Source organism: Homo sapiens, chromosome 4 (genome assembly GCF_000001405.40).
Source record: "Homo sapiens chromosome 4, GRCh38.p14 Primary Assembly".
NCBI classification, from domain to species: domain Eukaryota; kingdom Metazoa; phylum Chordata; class Mammalia; order Primates; family Hominidae; genus Homo; species Homo sapiens.
Window position 1 is genome coordinate 186,584,545 of NC_000004.12, and position 19,814 is coordinate 186,604,358.

The window sequence follows — 19,814 nt, forward strand, 5'->3', positions numbered from 1 at the left end:
CAATGAGAAGTAATAAATGGGGGTAATTTTAAGCCACTAAATGTACGGCCATGTGCTGTGGAGCAACAGAACACTGATACCCCAATGTTCTTCCAAACACTGGAAACCGGTGGTGTGAGCACATTCCGGACTTCCAGGTTCAGATGGCGGAGGGCTACATTCTGCCCCTTCTTCTCCTGAAAATCAATCAAACAATAACTGTTTAAGTAAATAAAACATTATTTTAAAAAAGGAAAATGAATCTGAAACAGGAAATGGGGGAAAAAGTTAAAAAGCAATTCCATTTTCAATGCTTTTAAGAGGCGTTGTTAACTGTAAACCACGCTACAGCAGATGCAAGGATCGGGCAGCAGAGCCTGGAGGCCATGGGAACAGGCCCCTTTGTCACACATGGAAGGTAATGAAGAATGGGGTGAGTGGCAGGGATGCTGTCTGAACGGTGTTCAAGCTGTTAGAATGCAGATTCTCAGCTCTATCCTGAGCCGCCTCGATGATGAAATAGACAAAGAGAAAGAAGCAGGAATGTTCTCGTAACCCAGAACTAGAGGACTAAGGGAATGACAAATCTCCAGTCCCCTTATCTGGCCAATTTCAAAATAAGAGCAATGATATTTCCCAGGCTGGAAACAGAAGGTCCTTCCTCGGGAGAAACTGAAACTCTTCAAAGATAAGACAAAGAAACGGACAAAGCAAGCTGGCCCACAATGTCACAGAGAAGTCCAGGAGCTAAGGAGCACAGTCATGGCTTTCTGTCAGCTTGGGTGCCTCATTAGGCTCAAGTCAAGCAAGAGGAAAGCCTGCAAGGTGAAAGGGGAGCAAGCCCTCCTGAAAGGAATATTTAAAAGCCGTCCAGGGGAAAACCAGGCAAAATGGAAGGACTTATTCTAAAATACATTTAGCAAAAATGAGATACTAGGGAGCTTCGAAACAGGAACAAATGCCTGTGTAATATAGAAAAGGGACAGTCAGGACCAGACCAGTCTCTTAAACATTAAAAATGACAGCAGAAATAAAACTGGTAACAGAAGGAACAGAAGATAAAAGTGGAATGAATCCCAGAAGGGGAATAAGACAAAGATGGACAATAGGAGTTCAATCAAAAAATGAGAGAATTTAGCAAGTCAAGCAACCTATAGTTATGAGTCTTGACAAGAGAACTGAGATCACCTCCTTTGAGAATTAAACGAAGAACTGAGAAAGCAGAAGGGAAGAAATGATCAAAGAAATAACACAAGAACAGTCCCCACAACGTGGATTTTCATTAAAAACGGAGTAGCAATCCCTGGAAAAGGCCCACGCCAAGACACAGCAGCAGGAAATCTCACAATGTTGTAGAGAAGTAGCATGTCCCCAGAAGAATATCCCCAAAGATTTGTGAGAGTCATATTAGGCCACGAATAATGAACTGGGACTAGGAACAACACTGGACTTTTCAATGTTAACATTTGAAGCTGGAAGACAGTGGGTTCCATGACTTCAAGATTCTGAATGTAATTTACCTCCAAACCAGAAACCTACACCCAATCTATCAAGAGTAGAATAAAGACACTTTCAGAAACACAGTCACAAAAAATTACTTCCCATGCAACTCTTTCTCAGACAATAACAGGATATGCTCTATCAAAACAAGAGTTAGGCCAAGAGAAAATTACAGAGTCCATGGTAAGGAGAATATTCCGGAACAACAACTATAGATGCCGAAGAGAACAAAAAAATGGAGTCTGGGCCACCAAGCCGAGGGGTTCCCTGAGGAGAATGTCCAAGGGAAAAAAAGGAGCGGACAGACTTCCTGCTGTGACCATGTACATGACAGGCTGCACTTGTGTTTTTCTTGGGCGTTCTCACACTCCTCCCTTTACAGTAGCAGCTAATCTGTCTGCCTGGAACAGTTCTCAGAGAAACCACGTGGTATTCTTCCTCATCAACTTCAAGGTTGGACTCAAATGCCGCTTGCCACTGAGGCCTCCTGTCTTCTCAGAATGTCCCTTCCCATCACAACCCCTTCCCCGTCCCTTCCCATCACAATCTCACACATTCCTTCCTCAATCACAGTCTCTCTCCTCAGCACTCACTACTATAAACACTACCATGTATCTCCTGATCATCTCCTCCTACCACCTGTCCCCACCAAATGTAAATTCCAAGATGACGGAGGACTTTTGTCTGTCTGTTCAGGCAAAATAATATAGTATTATTGAGGGAAAATGTTTTCTGAATACATGAATAGTCACAAGTTTAAAAAATGAGTAAAATAAAAAGACAATTGTTAAAAAAAGAAAGTTGCTAAGTAAATGAAAATAAACATCATATACTGCTTGGCACAGCAGTGAATACTTACATAATCAAAATAATGGAAACGCTGTATATGGATTAATCCAAAAATTATAACTAATGGTAGGAAAACAAGATCAGTGGAGGTCTATTAGGTTACATGGTCTTCCTCCAACATCATAGGGAGTCAACAGGCAATTTCTAAATTTAGTGACTCAAGAAAGAATAATATATACATTTGAAAATATGAAAGGAAGAATGAGAAAAACAGCTTAAGGAGTTGTAACTGGGTACAGCAGGTTGCATGGGACTGCTGTTTTATTATATATATTTTAGCTCTCTTTGATGTTTTTAAACTATGTATTTATATTATTTGATAAAAAGGCATTTACTTAAAGGGAAAACATGTTTCTCCAAAGTTCTAAGAAAGCTTAATTGTTTGTCATTCATATCATAGTGGCATATAGTAAGTACTCAATAAATGTGTTGGAAGTAGGGATGGATTTTGACTGTATAAAAATATATAAAAAATAGCTTCTGGATCTCACATTAAATCATACAGTACTGTGTAAGTTGACAACAGAAAGGTATAATGCTTCACAGAGACTGTTTTTGATATAAAACATTGACAAAGGTGAAAAACATGTAAGCATTAAAATTACAACCAATAAATTCATACTAATTAAAAATGTATAAAATTTTCTTGGTTTTGTTTAAAAATATTAAAAAGTTATGCTTTTTACTTTTGTGGCTATAGTTTTGAGCCGTATCAAGTAGCTATATACTGCCACCTGGTGGCTGGCTCCGCTTGGACAGCAGGGCTTTTGGTCAGGGTAGAGAGGATTTTCACATTTACGCCTTGTCCACTAAAAGCAAATACATCAATATCCACCCTTCCATTCATCCATTCTTCTATCTCAGCCACTGAATCCTGAACAGGAGTATCAATGGGAAGGAAAAAGAGGCATAAAGCTCAAGTATTTTATTAATAATTTATTGTCAGTAAGAAAGACTGGCTAATGGTAGTTTTCATTAAAAACCTTTACAAGACCATTGCATCACAAATATACAGACACTATAAAAACTGTGTCATGGTGGTTTTGGTTCTAAACAGGTATGCAGAAGGTCCCCGTTACACTTTCCAATAATGAAAAATGTTTATAATTCTAAATACAGCAACCCATGTAAGACATGTTCATGTATCTGATCTCTCCTTCATCCTATGTACAGCTAGAAATGAATGACTACACTGAAATGTACTAACAAAATGTCACACTTCAGTGGAAAAAGACAGAATGAAACCCTGGTTATAGTAAAAAAAAAAAAATCAGGGTGCTAGATAATGGCACTGACACCACCAAAATTCAGTTGAAACAAATGCACAAAATATCTTGGAAATCTAGTTAAAACTATGAAAAATCAAATCTGTACATAAAATTTACAAAAAAAAGAGACAGGAAAATTAAAATAATCAAATCTATATAAATACATGAATCATGCTGACAACACAGGACTGATTTTTCGTTTGATTATTTTAACACAGACAGATGTAAATCCCAAAAGACGTTGGGAAATGGCACAGCCGATGAAAACCTCACGATGACAGTAGTTGGGACACTGGAAATGGCTAGCACGTCCAGAGGCGCAGGATCCAGCGCAGCCATGCCCATTCGGCTCACCAAAAAAAGCTTGGAAGCACTGCTGCAAAGAACAGCGCGGATTACTCACATCACCTCTAGGTTCACTAAAGTCAGGCACTTTGGGGGGAGTTGAGAGTCAGACTTCCGTGTGCTGCTGGGAATCCAGGGGCGGGATCGTCACCTCTTCGAAGTGGCCGTCGTCCCCGCTCTCATAGTCACTCATCATGACCTCGGACTCCACTTCGCAGCAGGCTGACACGTCAGAGCAGGAGGCGGTGGAGGCGTACACAGACATGGGCATGCTCTCGACAGCGGGCGCCTCGAAGTGTCTTTGATACCCTGGCGGGTAAGGGGCATGGGGTTCTCTACAAGTACTATTCTCACCAGTGCCTTTTGTTTGAGGTTCAGACATATCGAGGGGATAAAAATTGGGCAAATACTGATTCAAGTTGAACCTCTGCCGGTTTCTTGATGAAGAACCCAAGCTACCCGCGGCAGGCATGTCTCTAGGAGGGTGGATGGATTCAAACTGATTGCTGAATTCGGGCGGTAACGGTGGTAGCTCATCAGCTGCGGGGAAGTCTTCTGGGGGTGGAGGAAAATCACTTTCGATGTCGTAGCCTCCAGGGTAATAGTCCGTATCGATGGCGTTTGGATCTGCTGAGTACAGGGGTGTCTGCTCATCAATCACCTCATAGTTGGGGAACTCTTGTATGTCCGGCAGAGGAACGCTTGGCATCCAATCTGATGTATCCCAGTGATACCCTTGGTGGAAAAGAAAACAGATGTCAGTGTGTTTTCTCCTAAGCTTTTGTGCCATGGAAAGAGAGCTCAGTGTATCAAAGACACAAAGATGCAACCGCATTTATGCCTTCATTCAAAGTTCACCACTGGAAATTCCTCGTCTTTGCTTTGAAGACATCCCCCAACCCACTCCAGTTTAAAGACCCCTATGAACTAGGCTCTAGTTCTAAAATGTGGACTTACAGTTTTATGTACGCAACTAACATTCAAGGAAACAAAAGGAGTCCTAAGAGAAATGGGATGCTAGCATCTAAATTATATACATTTTTCTACAAATGATTCTAACCATCCTTCTGGCTTTTCTTCTGTAGAACCCACTGCTCTGTAGGAAGAAGAGTACTGATCCAGTCTCAGGACATTAGTGAAATATCCAGTGTCACTTGATCTGCACTACTTCTCATTAAAAAAATACTGATTAATGCAACTTAAAAAAATTTTGCATTTCTATTTTTTATAGAGACAGGGTCTCACTATGTTGCCCAGGCTGGTCTTAAACTCCTGGCCACAAACAATCTTGCCAATTCAGCTTCCCGAAGTGCTGGGATTACAGGTGTGAGCCATCAGGCCCAGCCAATGCAACTTTTTAAAGTAATAAAAGTAACCTTTAACATGCTAAAGTTTAGAAAATAAGCTTCCTTCATAATAATGTAGCAAGTTTAATATTAAAATTACTATTTTTCATTAACCCTCAGACAACAAATTAACTTAATATAGGTATGTATCAAAGCATGCCAATTCAAGCAAAATACAATTGAACAAGCGTTGCAAGATTATAACACAGCCTCTGATACACTGTAACAATCAATCTGTGTTACTTCCAAAAGGACTGTGATCCTTTTAGACTATATAAAGCACCACTATTTTAAAAAAAAACTTCCAATTTTGGAATAGTTTTTTTTTTTTCCTCCTTAGGATTTAAAAAATCCTTGGAGAGGCGGGAGAAGGTTAGGCAATCCGTGCTTCAAATGCAATGCGCACACACATGCAGCCGTGTACTTAGTTACTGCTGCAAACACTGGGCGACCCAGCGTAGTCAGTCAGCACTGGGGCAAGGCTTGACCCATTGTTTTTAGTGAGTATCAATGAATAACTGGCATGCATAAGTCACCTCTTGGTTTGCTGAGGTCAGGAGCAGCCAAAGATTCTTTTGGTGGCAGAGTAGAAAAAAAAGAAAACATTTGTAATTAAAACAGTCGGCTGAAAAGGCAATAAAGGTAAGTACACAGAACAATGAAAACTGCTTACAGAGGCCCAATCAGCCATACAGCATGTCCTTACGCCAGTATCTATGACAATTCCAAATGGCTGAGAAATGTATGTACCACAAATAAAATGGAATATGGAAGTGGAGGAAAGTGACTGCGGAATGAGGAACCAGAAATTTGGCCAGAAAACTCAAATATTACTTTCTTTTCCTTGTTTCTGACAATCACAGCCTGAAAACACAGAATTTCCTTAGGAATAATGAAAACAAAACAAACAGGCTCTAATAAAATATAAACTGATCAGATTACATAGGTGATAATCCAAATACATCTACAGCTACATAATGCACACACTTTATAGCACACTGCAACTTCAAAGGACATTAAATTCAGAGGAATTCATAGGCAAACTTAGATACTTAAAGACAGATGTACAAGCTGAAGATCTCTCCAAACTGTATGTATTTTGAATATGCTTTAATATTGACACTGTGAGCCATTCCCTAAAGAGACCACGGCTACACTTACCCCATGTCTGTAATTACACTTGCCCTGCCAGGGCCCCGCATCTATACACAGAAGCCCAGCAGGAAGTGTAACCAAACGCATGTAAATCCCACTATCAGTTAGGGCCATGAGACGCCTGCCCAGGCCCTGGCTAACCTTCAGGTTCTCTCTTTGAAATGGGGTGAAAATCCGTTAGAGTTGTTATGAGGATTAAACAGGATCATGCAGGTTAAGCACTGTTAGAAACTATCAATAACTGTGAAAGTAGACATCACAGCAGAAAAACGGTCACATCCGTGATTTTTTAAACAAGGCTTTCTATGCATTCAACAGTGTTATAATTTGGGACAAATATTTGATTGATAGTTCACTTCTAGAAATTTCAGTAATTTTAAAAGACTGTGGTGTCTCTAAAACATGAATACGCCGGCATTTAGGTAACATGTATCTACAGAATCATTTTTAAGTCTAGTAACAAAAGCAGCAATTCCTTTAAACAAAAAAAGATCAACAACTTTTGTTACGTAGGCACTAGTAATAGCTTTCAACTTTAAATTCCATGTGCACTTCTTGGATATGCCAAAAAATATTTGTCAATGAAGGAGACTGCAATGAAGGAACTGTTGAAATTCTGCTTCTATAAGCTTCAATAATATTTAAAATGCTGAAGGTCATCAGTTTAACACTAAAACTTCACTAGACAAAATACAGGTATGTTTCTGATTTGCCCAGTGAAAACATGGTACTTCTTAGGAAAAGAAGTGTAGGCGTCATCAGTAACTATAACCATGAACACTGGAGTATCTAAGCCTCTTCTGCCTGATAGCAAATGGGGCCCAGAGCTATCCTCCCTCCTCCTGAACCTTGACAGCATCATGTCCTAGCATAAAGGATCCCCCGAACTCTATGATGACGTCTGTGTACTCGATGGCCTCTGTAAGCAGTTCTCGAGTGGGATCTCTAGACCGGCACCATCAGAGCTACCTGGGAACTGGTGAAAAATGCAAATTCTAAAGTCCCAACCCAGACCTGTTGGATCAGAAATGCTGGTGCTGAGAACCAGCAATTGGGCTTTTAACAGCCCTCCAGATGATCTGATTCACATTACAGTTTGAAAAGTACTAGCCTGTGTCTTCCCCATGTGATGAATTTCAGTGCACTAATAAAGGGCTATTTTAATTTAAAATAATTTGGGGAAGGTGCTCAATGTCCTTTCTTACAACTCTGAGCAGATAAAGCTTCACATTAAATAATTTTCACTAAACCAAATATGAAAATATTCTTTTACCATGCTCTACACCCTTTTCTTTGATCATACTCAGGGAAAAACCAAAAGTGAAGAGTCAGTTACAGGTTAATTATGAAAGCTTTACATTATTCAAGTCTTATTCCTGTACATACGAAGAAGAATTTTTGTTTCAAAAAAATTTTAGGTAAAATTACTTCTGAACTTTTTCTTGATTGCACCACCTACAGATAAGCTCTCCAGATCTCATGTAAATCACTATGAATGGTAAAAAGGAACAAAGACATAACATACATTGAGATATTTTTTGCAAAGCACTCATATTACGTATATACACACCTGCATAAAATAAAAGGACTCAACCCCCTCAAAACCACAAACTGTTTTTTCCTACCATTGCAATAGCAATGCGGCCGAGCTCTACGACACGGCTGCTGCAAGACACAGACACAAGCACGAGCACTTACAACTGTACCTTCTGTGCTCACCGTGTCAACCACAGCATTGACAAGGTGCATTACGGTCACTATGGAAGCTTGCAAAAAGGTACAAAAGCAGTCAATTAGGAACATCTTCAGTTAGTTAGAAAACAGTGCATGAAATAAAGTTTTGTATTATACCATTTCTACCTCAGATTCCAACCGATGAGTGCTTTAATACAACCACATAATGATGCGTGGTCTCCTCACTGTTAGCTGTGTGTCTCAGAGACTTTTTTAATCGAGCTATATATTTGTTATTATTAATCAAAGGAATAACGTAAACATATTTTATTGGAATTTAAACAAAAAAACTTTTAGCTTTAAATTTTTTCACAATTACAATTATGCATCATGCCAGGCCAAAACGATTCTTATTTTAACATCTTACAGGCAAGACTCGACATTCCAAGACTACAGTCTGTGGTTCGCCACTCTTCCGGCTGCTTAATCACTCACACATTGTCCCCCAAAAAAAAGAAATTGAAGGAGAAACATATGCAATCTAAAACAAGAATGTTTTTGTCCCTGTTCTGATTGCTTTCCCTGCAAATTTCTCGTCTGTTTGCAGATGGACTAATCGCTGGTGAGCTAATGTACGAGTATAGGAGGAGACTCTGTCCGTCTGTTTCCTGTGTAAATTCCCTTTTCATTTGTGTATCAGATTGTTTTAAAATAACTATGCCAAGGTAAATATGTACGCATGTGGTAGGCAGAAGGCTGGCCCTCAAATAGTCCACGTCCTAATCCCAGGAGCCTGTGAATATGTCACTATACATGGCAAAAGGGACTTTGTTGACGCGGTTCAGATAAGGAAATTGAGATGAGGGATTTCCCTGGATTACCTGGGTGGGCCCAGTGTAATCATAAGGGTAACTTTTCTGCACAGAGGCGTTCCCAGTTACGGCTGGGGGGAGCTCTGCTGACAGAAGGGTGGTCAATGAAACACTGTGTTGCTGTCTCTGAGATGGAAGAAACCAAGAGCCAAAGAATGTGGGCAGCCTCTAAAAACCAGGAAAGGAAGGAAAACAGGTTCTTCCCTCGAGCTGCAGAAGGCAATGCAGCCCTACTGATCGCATGACTTAAGCCCTGTGAGACACAGGGGTTGGGCTTCTAAGCTACAGAATGACAGCAACACAAGTCTACATTGTTTTAGGCCACAAAGTTTGTGGTAATCTGTAATGGCCCTGGAAAACCGGGAATACGACGCAGGAACAGACTCTCAGCAGACTTTCAGTTTACAACTGATAATTACATTATGGTAATGAGTAAAATAAAAACACTCCTGTATATATGTTTTTTCTCTGCATTGTACTATCTGGAAGCTAGTTTTCATAACTAATTTGACCATAACTTATTGAAAGCACTTGGGACTATTTTTTTTTTTGAGACAGAGTCTCGCTCTGTCGCCCAGGCTGGAGTGCAGTGGCGTGACCTCAGCTCACTGCAAGCTACAACTCCCGGGCTCAGGCCATTCTCCTGCCTCAGCCTCCCCAGTAGCTGGGAGTACAGGTGCCCACCACCACGCCCGGCTGATTTTTTTTATATTTTTAGTAGAGACGGGGTTTCACTGCCAGGACGGTCTCGATCTCCCAACCTTGTGATCCGCCCGCCTTCACCTCCCAAAGTGCTGGGATTACAGGCGTGAGCCACTGCGCCCGGCCACCTGGGACTATTATTAAGAAGACTGATGTTCCAACAACAAGAACTAGAAAGAAAATGCTGATAAAATTCTGAAATGTATTTATAAAGAGCATTTAGGGGCCAAGATATAAATTATTACATAAACTGGAAACAGGAACTTCTTAGAATTAAAATTGATAAAAGACATAATTCTATCTTGTTGGTTTAACAAGCAAAGCTATGTCCATACACCCTATTCCTAATCAACACAGGTATATTTTGATACCATATATACGGTATCAAAATATACCTGTGTTGATTAGGAATAGAGTGTGTATATATATATATACTTGAAAGTATATATATATATATATATATATACTTGAAATCAGAAATGATAGCACATACTTATAGCTATCTTTAGTTTGAAAAATGACTGCAATAGATAATGACTATATGGATTTATGGACTATATGATGTATTATGGACTATATTACTCTGGATTGAATAATTATTAGTGGGGTTACCTTTTCCCACCAATAAAATATTTGAAATGTATAACATATTAATATGTTTAATAATAAACGTATTACGTTTATACAATAAAAATTATCATTAAACTTACTAATTCTGAGATTCAAAAATTTCCACTAAAAACTACATTGTGTTACTGAATATTGACGTTTTTCTCTACTGGTATGTGTTAATATGGCAAAGCTAGTTATCAATGCAATTTACCCTATAGGGAAACCAGATCAACATAACTGGTGGCAAAGATCCCACTGTTAAACTTTCTTCATTAGAAATATAATCAAACTTACTAGCAATCTCTTAAACTGTGCTCTGGCAGTACGCTCTGATCCAAATGGGAGCTGGGGCCGCAGTGGGGTTGGGGGAGGAGACAAATAAAACCTTGTAATACCCAAGGTGCTACTGAAATCGAACATTTCAGACTATCACATCTCTTCTTAGAGGGGGTGTGTGTGTGTGTGTGTGTGAGAGAGAGTGTGTGTTTGTGTGCGTGCTGCGTGGTTAAGAAAGTTGCGAGGAAGATTTCTGACAAACCCACAAAACTGGGGTGATATTAACTGTTGTGAAAAAAAGCCAATATAAGATTAGTCGATCAGATCCTTCAATGAATATGTTCTTCTCTATTACTGACAAGTTCAAACACCTATTCATTAAGAACAGTTTGGCTATTTTCCCCAGCAGACATTCATGCAAGTATGTATGGTATTGTTTAAAAGTGGTCCAAGAAAAATGAAAATATGGTGAGGCTTTAAGGGTAGATAGTGCGTCTACATTGTGAGATAACACAGTAACACAACAAGCAAGCAAAGCGCAGTGTTGCAGCACACTGCTGCCTCACCATTGTCATCGCACGATTCGGACTGGAAGGAGCTCAGAGACTGCACTTCAGACAGGCTTTCCCGGGCACTGTATGGCTGGGAAGGCTTTTCCTCTAGAGGCTTCTTGGAAAGACAGGGATCAAGATCCACCACTTTTGCTAAAAGGAAGGATGACAAACAGTAAGTATATGGGCCAAGACGGTTTTGTTCACCGCTGAATCCTGAGACACACCATGCATTACCCAACGATGGCCTGAGATTTACTCAATAAATGAATGACTGAAAGAAAAACAGAAACACCTTACAAACTCAAACGAAGAAATAAAAAACCCCTGCACAGAAAGACCTCCACATCATCTTAGAGATTATTCATAGAGTAGAAATCGCCCATAAGCATGCCTATGGGTATCATTAGACAGTAAAGGCTGCTAAAATTTTGTTTTAAAATAGTATGTACAGCTTTAAAAGAAAAAAGCATCAAATATATGTTAGGTCACTAATATAAATATTTCCACTTCGCCAGGTCATATTTTTAAAAATCCTAGCATGAAAATGCTCCCGATTATTTTTTTGACATATTAATAAACTCAAAAAATTATAGATGAGAACCTTTATCAATTATAAAATGAAATGATCTCTCCAGAATATTAACTAAACATGACTAGATTCAATTTCTTAATTAAAATAACATCAAAGCCACAATGCTAACCCAGCAATCGGGACATCCAAAAAAGTTTCAAATCATCATACGGATTTCAGTCTGAGCATACTTGTCTCTAATGAAGAGTACACACATTTTGACTGGACAGAATTTGTAACCTCACTGTTTATCTCAAGTGACACTTTAGTGAGATGAAAAAGTGGCTCTTACTGTCATAGTCAAAGTCCCAGCTAGGCTTCTGGATGGAGTCGCTGTCAGAAGGGGAGTTTGAAGGGGGTGGGGGAGGCAGGTTTGGCGCCACGCTGCAGACCGCCACTGCTTTTCGGTGCCCGTGCACAGACTCGGGGTTAAAAGTGCTGAATTCGGGATGCTCTGGGATAGCAGATCCTTCGAAGGAATTTCGGTCCAGATTGTTTCTTGAGTCACTTGGAATACTCGGGGTGTAGGAAATAGGCCGGACAGGCACCTGGGGTGGTATGTCTGAGTAAATGTTCTTATTTAGCTTGGAATCAAAATACGGTCTTTGCAAGAAAGCCGTAGCGGGTCCCAGGTGCTTGTCTTTAGGTTCAGCCTGATGCTTCTTTTTCCGACTAATCATCTTACGGCAGAGAACAAACACCACCACCAGTAAAAATATCCCTGCAACAAACACAACGATTCCAATTCCTTCCGCCAACCCAATGTTCCACGGCGTGGACACATACTGGTTGGGCGCAGCATCCTCGCAGTGACGTCCCCTGTACTCGTGGCTGCAGTTGCAGTGATAGGAGCCGTGCGTGTTCTCACAGAGGGCCCCGTGCAGGCAAGGGTTTCCAGAGCACTCGTCGATATCACTCTGACACCTGCCAAGGAAGTCAGGAATGAGGAGAGACCTCTGTAGCATACGCCAGCGTATGTCAGGCTCAATCCTTAGAGACTGAAGACTAATCCCTCCTTGATGAGCTATGTGAAGATCAAACCCAGATAAAAGACAACTAAAAAATGTAACGTCGACAACCACGAGAAAAGACCTTCTGTGGAGAAACCAATCATGTGATCGCATGCTTTTGATGTATATTTGGGAAGGAAACATATCAAGCCAATATTAATGGCCATTTTCCTAGGATCAACAGACTATTACATCAACCCCATTGGCTAAACATTAGTTTTTTTCAAGTATTATATATACTGTATTCATCTGCTTGATAATTCATTTTAAAGAGTGAAAAGATTATAAATTATATAAGGGGCCAATATGAGGATTATCAAAATCTGACATAATGTAGTTCAAATCACTGAAGGTCTGTTGCATCTGCCAGTCAATATGACGCTATGAAAAGGTATGAACCTAAATTTTGAAAGAAACCATTTACCTTTCTCCCCTAAAACCCGAATCACACTGACAAACGGCGCCATCCAAACTGTCAAAGCATGTTCCGCCATTCTTACAGGGTTCATCTTTGCAGTATGGACTAAGCTGACACCTGAAGAGTAAGGAGAAACAGACATAAACCTCATGATCCTATTGCAAATAAATACAGCAAAACAGAAAGCAAAACAGAACACATTAGCAAATTAACGTGCAGACTTTTTACATGTACCATTATATGTTTAAGAATTTTATACTACAATTGATTATGAAAGTTAAGAAAAATACACATACCTCTGACCAGTATATAATCCTCTACACTGGCAAACAAAGCCTCCGTTGTCGACAACACACGTGCCCCCATAGAGGCATGGCTTGGAGGAACACGGATTGACGCTTATCTCACAGTGGGTCCCTATGTACAAGGCACTGCATTTGCAGTAATAACCTAAATCGGCAAAAAGGAACAAAAAAGTCCTATCACTCAATGACTCAGAAACCTGGTCTTAATTATATTGCTTTTTATCTTTATTCTCCGAGGTCTGTAAAAGCTCGTAAAATTCTCACTCTCTCTGGGAAAAAAGTTGGCTACATCAACAAGCCTTCCACTGCTGGTATAACCAAAACACCCAGAATTGAAGAGAGAACTCAGTTAGCTTTAGTTCATCATAATCTGCATTAAGATCACTAGGTCACACATATAGAGGAGGAAAATACAGTTCTTTACCTGAGTGACCATGTACGTAGACAGCACCACTTAACATCTCAATTTATTTGCAATTCACAAGCATTTAAGGATTAAATGAGAAAATAATGAATGTGAAAAGCACTTTGAAGACTATAAATTACCTTTCAATATTTTTATTTTTTGAGACAGGGTCTCGCTCTGCCACCCAGGCTGGAGTGCAGTGGCGCAATCTCAGCTCATTGCATCCTCAAACTCCCGGGCTCAGGGATCCTCCCACCTCAGCCTCCTGAGTAGCTGGAACTAGAGGCATGCCACATGCCTGGCTGATTTTTTAAGTTTTTGTAGAGATGGGGTTTCCCTGTAACGCCCAGGCTGCCTCACTTCTAGCCTCAAGTGATCCTCCTGCCTCAGCCTCTCAAACATGTAAAGATTTAAGAAAGGAGATCATCACATCTGTTCAAAGCAGTACGAAGAATGTCGACTCCACTTTGTCAAGTGACAGGTGGTGTGGCAGATCTTCTAACTGCCTGCCTTGAGGGCACACCGCAGCACAGTGCTTCCCCGCCCCTCCAAAGCTGGCGTGGCTGTGGGTTTTTCTCAGGATGAAGAACTGTGGTGCCCTGGGCCAGGGCCTTTAGGAGCCAGGGCACAGCTGCCATACTCCTTTACTCCTGCTTCGGGACCATGGGAGTGCATGTCAGGAAAGCACCTCTCTCAGCCTCATCCCTAAGTGACAAAATGAGGACGGCCTCCTTGCTAACCTGGTTTGGACGTGTAACTAATATGAGCACAGTATAAATGAGAGTGTTTCTGTGGGGATGGCCTGGCCCACTCTACGCACACAGAATGCAAATATACCTCCCTGAGAGAACAGCAGAAAACCAAAGCTTTGGAAATCCCACTTAATGACAGTATTATTTTTGCTCTGTTCATTATACCAAGCTCTATTTGGTATGACAACTGTCATTTTCCTAACTGTACCCTATTATTGGTAAGTGGGCCTAACAGGAGTCCAGGGTGCAAAAGACACAAAGTACCCCACTACGCCAGGGCTTCAAGACAGACAGATATGGCAACACTTCAGGAGGGATTCAGGGCCTTCTGGAAAATCATATTCCCAACTATTATTGCCAGCAAGAATCTAGCAGGCCCCCTACGCTGAGCCATTAGATAAAAGGTGATACAAATAACAAAGAAGGGCTAAGCGGTACGAATTCTAAATTCCCCTGGGCCGATGACTATGGAGTTAAAGAAGAGTTCTGAGTCACTTGAGGTGCCTCCTGCTCGGGCACTGGGAGGGCACTGCAGGCGCTCAGCAGTGGGAGCCGTGGTACCTGCAGCCTGGGCACCAGAAGGGCAGCAGACCCAGCTCTGCCCCCGTATGAGGGATGCTGCTCGCTTCCAACACTGACTGCAGTGTCTGACAAAATTATCTGAATCAAAAGAGAAAAAAATAAAAAAATACCTGGGGAGCTTCCCCTTAAATGTACACACGTGCAGCATTTTAAAGATGGCAACATTACGGAGCCCACCTCCAGCAGGTGACGGATTGCAAACGCCTCCATTCTGGCAAGGGTTGCTGGCGCAGTCTTCCGTGGCCGTCAGGAAGCAGCCTGGAGATACATCCACCGACTCTTCGATGTGTGCATAGCTTCTGGGTTTGCTGTTTAAAGGGAGCTCCTGCCCATTCAAATAAATGGAGTCCATACAACCCCTGAAACCATTACCAACTTGAGGACTTCTTCCATGCCTTGTTCCCTGCTGACGGATGTGGCCACCAAAAAACACATAGTTATCCAGGTTCAGGGTTTTCAGAGTCCCTGGGGCTGTGCCCGATGCAGTATGAACTTGGTCTAGAACCAAGCGAGCATAGTTTCCATTCACTTCCAGGGCCACTGCGTGCCACTGCCCATCATTGACCTGAATGCTCTGAACAGAGACAATTCCAGGGCCACTTCCACAGTCAAACTTGTACTGCAGCCTTCCATGATGAATCTAGGATAAAAGCAATGACTGTTCACATTACTCTCATAGAACCTTCAATGAGAGCACCTGATCACAAATCTACAGGAGAGGGCTTAGGGAGTGAGGGTAGAAGTTAGGCCTTACATTTAAGTACTACAGAGCACAGATTCATTTGTCCACTGTATAAATCATTAAAATGCGTCTTTTAGGAATATCAAGTTAAAATGCACATCCACAAAGCATCATGGAAGCGAATAATTAACTATTAACTGAACACATAAGCATTAGGTAATATCAAAAGTCAAAACTGAATAATGTTTTTAAAAAAGGTGGGCAAGATACATAACACTTGAAACACATGTAGGATGTCTCTATAAACTGTAACAGTTTTTGTTTTTTGAGACAGTTTCACTCTTGTCGCCCAGGCTGGAGTGCAGTGGCGTGATCTCAACTCACTGCAACCTCTGCCTCCCCTGTTCAAGTGATTCTCGTGCCTCAGCCTCCTGAGTAGCTGGAATTACAGGCGTCCGCCACCAAGTCTGGCTAATTTTTTGTATTTTTAGTAGAGAGCAGGTTTTGCCATGCTGGCCAGGCTGGTCTCAAATTCCTGACCTCAAGTGATCCACCCGCCTCAGCTTCCCAAAGTGCTGGGATTACAGGCGTGAGCCACCACACCCAGCCAACATTATTAAAATGGGGCATCACCTAGAGTTTGAATGTTAACTGTCACATGGACCTAAATCTCTGTCATGGCAGGGCAAAAAGAGCTCTTCATCCCACAAAGTCTAAAACTTGTACAGGCATCAATGAATTATTTAAATGTGGAATTCAACCATTTCACTTACTTTATTATCTGTGCAAATTAACAATCTGAATATAAAATGAAATTTATGGTTTGAAAGTCTTCCACTAAGATGCAACGCTGTGGAGAAACATACCTCCAAGATGCTATAGTCAGTTCCTCGAGCATACATGACAACCGCATGCGTGGAATATGTTCTGAGCCTCATGGTCAGTTTCATCTCTAATTTGTTTTCATTTTCCGTCAGACGGTATTTCACGTAGCTGTTTCCAGTCAGTGTCATAGATGAACTCCCTGTGAATCACACAGAGGAAAAAATAAACCAGAACCAAGTTTAAGCATATTTTTTAAAGTATGACTCCCCTGCACCCCTTGAGACTGATTTAGGGTTTTATTTAAGATGATAACATTTTACTATCCAATTCTGTGGGAAAACGTCTATTTGCTTAATGAAAAGCCCAGCATGACTGGCTCTCTGTTTGGAAAGAATAAATTTGACGACTGCATCACAGAGAAATGAATTCTAAAGTAATGAAAGATTAAATATAAAAATGTTCAGTATAAAATTATTAGAAGAAAATTTCAGAAAATAGTTATACATAGCCTCAAGGTGATTTAAGAAACCTTCTCAAGCAAAATAAAACAATCCCCATTCCCCAAAGAAGATGCAAATGTCATCAATCTCCACAGATGGCAACTGTTACATAAAATTATGTAGAACTGACTAAATAACAATTGAATTTCAAAATGACAAGAGGCATACTTAACAAATCAAAAGATAACATCAATATAAATGATATAAAGACAGAGGTAACTGCAACACTGTGAATGTTAATACTCCTAATACACAAGTAACTCTACACATTGATACTAAGAAACAAATAACCCAGACCATCAAACAACATGAACAGGTAGAGGCCACAGCAGAGGCAATACTGATAGGAAATGAACAAATGAGATGAAAACTTTTAAAGTAGCCAGAGAAATGCAAATTAAAATAATAATTAGATATCACTTCACACCCATAAAATAGATGGTGGGGAATTTGTTTTATAATCGAAAATGTTCAATGATGTCAAAAGAATGGAGAGTGAAACCTTCATACATAACTGGGAGAAATAAAAATTAATACGACTTTTTGGAAAACTAATATAGTGATACAAAAAAATTTAAAATGTCATTGATGTTTGAGATAGCAAATTCTAGTTTTATAATCTATACACCGTATAGAAATGAACGCATCAGTATGTAAAGATACATGTATAAAGATTTCTTTATCTGAAAGAAAGAGAACAACTCGAATCTTTACACATAAGAACAATGTTGAATAAGTACAGCCATGCTAGAAAATATTATCCAGCTATCAAAAAGAATCAGGTTTAAAGGTACTGGCTCGGAACCATACGAAAGGTGCTCTTTACCATACTGCTAAGTGGAGGGAAAAGGCAACAGGGAGAGAACTGTGTGAGATATGATCACTCTTGAATTTCCAGGAAAATTAAACTGCTACATAATGGCACTGCGTTGTTAGCTGTATGTCTATATAATCATTGAAGACACAGGAGGAGGGACACCAACTATGAACCAAGGGGTGTGCTGTAACAAGAGGAAGCAAAACTTACTACTGTCATTCTTTATTCATCTCCACATCTGTCTTCTTACAATAAACATACTTTGCAATATTTTTAGACTCCAATAAAGAAGAAAATGGTAAGAAACAATGAAACCGATTTTTAAAAATAAAAGTATACCCAACCATTCAACTCTCACCTGGGCACTGACCAAACCTGCCGCTGGGACAGACACAGGTGTGTTTCTCCTCCCAGGGATCAGACACACATTCGGATCCCTCAGGGCACGGATCATCTTCACAGCCATGGTGGACAGGTGGGCACCTTCCCTCTTCATTCAAAGAGGGGAGAAAGGGAAAAGATAATTAACAGACATTTCAAGAACATCACCTTTCATGTATAGCCATCAAAGGCTTCAAAGGCCGTCTGAAACCATCTGTGACACCGACTTTCATACACTCATGTGCAGTACCTTTGCAGAGACACACCGCTGCCCTGTGGTGGCGGGGAGTCACAAAACTCAGTCTGGCTGTGCTGTGTGTTGACATCACACTTTCATCCACAGACACCTTTTCATCGCAGAACTTCCAGGGGCAGTCCAGTCCCGCGCAGAGTTTCTGGAATACATTCAGTATCCTAACTCCAATGATTTCCTCAATGTCAGTCACGGAAGAGTTAATCTTGTGCAGAAGTTGTTTTGTTGAGATCTGAGCACTACCTGGTTTCTCTACAAAAAGTAAGACGTCCAGATGTGGGTGAGGTTCAGAGGACTGCAAACTAACAATCTGTATGTCGTTCCTCCTCACACCCAGGATGTTCCGTAAAGCTCGCTGGAAGTTGCGCCAGTAGTCACCAACGAATTCTTCCGGAGTGAGGTTGGCAAAGCGGATCGCGATGGTGTGGTTCAACATCTCCTGTGTGACTTGTCTGATATGCACTGTGATGTCGGCCACCGTCGTGAACTTCCCATCTGTTACGCTGACATTGAGAAGGTATTGCCCTATGTCTAGCTTTTTGTGTGCTATCAGCTTGCCCCCTGTGCTGGAAACAGAGAACAGGTTGTCCATCTGAGGGTCGAGACTGTAGGTTAGAGTATCATACACGTCCTGGTCTGTGGCATGGATCTTCCCAATGACGCCACCTGAGTATTCTTCTCCAGAAGAGGTGATGAAAATCTCCAGGGGCAAAATCGCAGGCGGATAGATGCTCTCCTCAATTACCCTAATGTCAATGTATGTCAAAGATGACAACTGAGGCTTTCCATTATCTGCCACCTACAAGAAAAGAAAAATAAAATCACCTTTGTCTATGGCACTGTTTATAACTTCTTCAATAAAAACATTTGTATTACTCAAGTTCCCAAAAAATTACTAACTGGTAGATACTCATTTCTCCACACAAGAAACGTATCAAAGAAAAGGACAAATTTCTTTATAGCACTTCACTAATTCACACTGAAACCCAGCTCTGTCAATGACTATGACAGAATCAACAATGAGCTCCTTCAAACACAGCGGGATAAAAATGGAAGGTATGGCAAAAAACAAAGACAGCAATTCTATGAAAGTTTGTTTTTGTATGAAATGTAAGCTGTTCAAATAGAAGAGGGGAACCACGCCAAGCAGCTCTTCTCTATGAATCCACAACCAAACCAC

The 19,814-nt window shown here is 40.7% G+C and overlaps 1 protein-coding gene across 4 annotated transcripts in view, besides 3 other annotated features; it reads right to left on the reverse strand.

Annotated features, from left to right (window-relative positions):
• Positions 356-525: an enhancer, noted in NCBI's record as "experimental_76785 CRE fragment used in MPRA reporter constructs". NCBI's record gives its function as "activates a minimal promoter by MPRAs in K562 erythroleukemia cells, with activity observed for the introgressed 4:187506139 variant allele {active_cell/tissue: K562}" and the evidence as "EXISTENCE:reporter gene assay evidence [ECO:0000049][PMID:34662402]".
• Positions 3,250-19,814, reverse strand: part of FAT1 (FAT atypical cadherin 1) — a 138,903-nt gene continuing 122,338 nt past the window's right edge. For 2 of the 4 annotated variants that reach the window (NM_001440456.1, NM_001440457.1), the window contains exons 19-28: positions 18,632-19,433; positions 18,359-18,490; positions 16,725-16,882; positions 15,354-15,816; positions 13,428-13,581; positions 13,138-13,248; positions 11,996-12,627; positions 11,145-11,282; positions 5,824-5,859; positions 3,250-4,676 (exon numbers count right to left, since the gene is read on the reverse strand). In NM_001440456.1, the coding sequence (NP_001427385.1) occupies positions 4,048-4,676; positions 5,824-5,859; positions 11,145-11,282; positions 11,996-12,627; positions 13,138-13,248; positions 13,428-13,581; positions 15,354-15,816; positions 16,725-16,882; positions 18,359-18,490; positions 18,632-19,433 (3,255 nt within the window). In that variant the 3' untranslated portion in view covers positions 3,250-4,047. The remainder of the gene's footprint in view (positions 4,677-5,823; positions 5,860-11,144; positions 11,283-11,995; positions 12,628-13,137; positions 13,249-13,427; positions 13,582-15,353; positions 15,817-16,724; positions 16,883-18,358; positions 18,491-18,631; positions 19,434-19,814) is intronic. The other 2 variants (NM_001440455.1, NM_005245.4) reach the window with 1 other exon arrangement.
• Positions 3,599-4,798: an enhancer, noted in NCBI's record as "BRD4-independent group 4 enhancer chr4:187509297-187510496 (GRCh37/hg19 assembly coordinates)". NCBI's record gives its function as "activates an origin of replication core promoter dependent on BRD2, P300/CBP, MED14 and CDK7 cofactors, and independent of BRD4, by STARR-seq in HCT116 cells {active_cell/tissue: HCT116}" and the evidence as "EXISTENCE:reporter gene assay evidence [ECO:0000049][PMID:35650434]".
• Positions 18,571-19,770: an enhancer, noted in NCBI's record as "BRD4-independent group 4 enhancer chr4:187524269-187525468 (GRCh37/hg19 assembly coordinates)". NCBI's record gives its function as "activates an origin of replication core promoter dependent on BRD2, P300/CBP, MED14 and CDK7 cofactors, and independent of BRD4, by STARR-seq in HCT116 cells {active_cell/tissue: HCT116}" and the evidence as "EXISTENCE:reporter gene assay evidence [ECO:0000049][PMID:35650434]".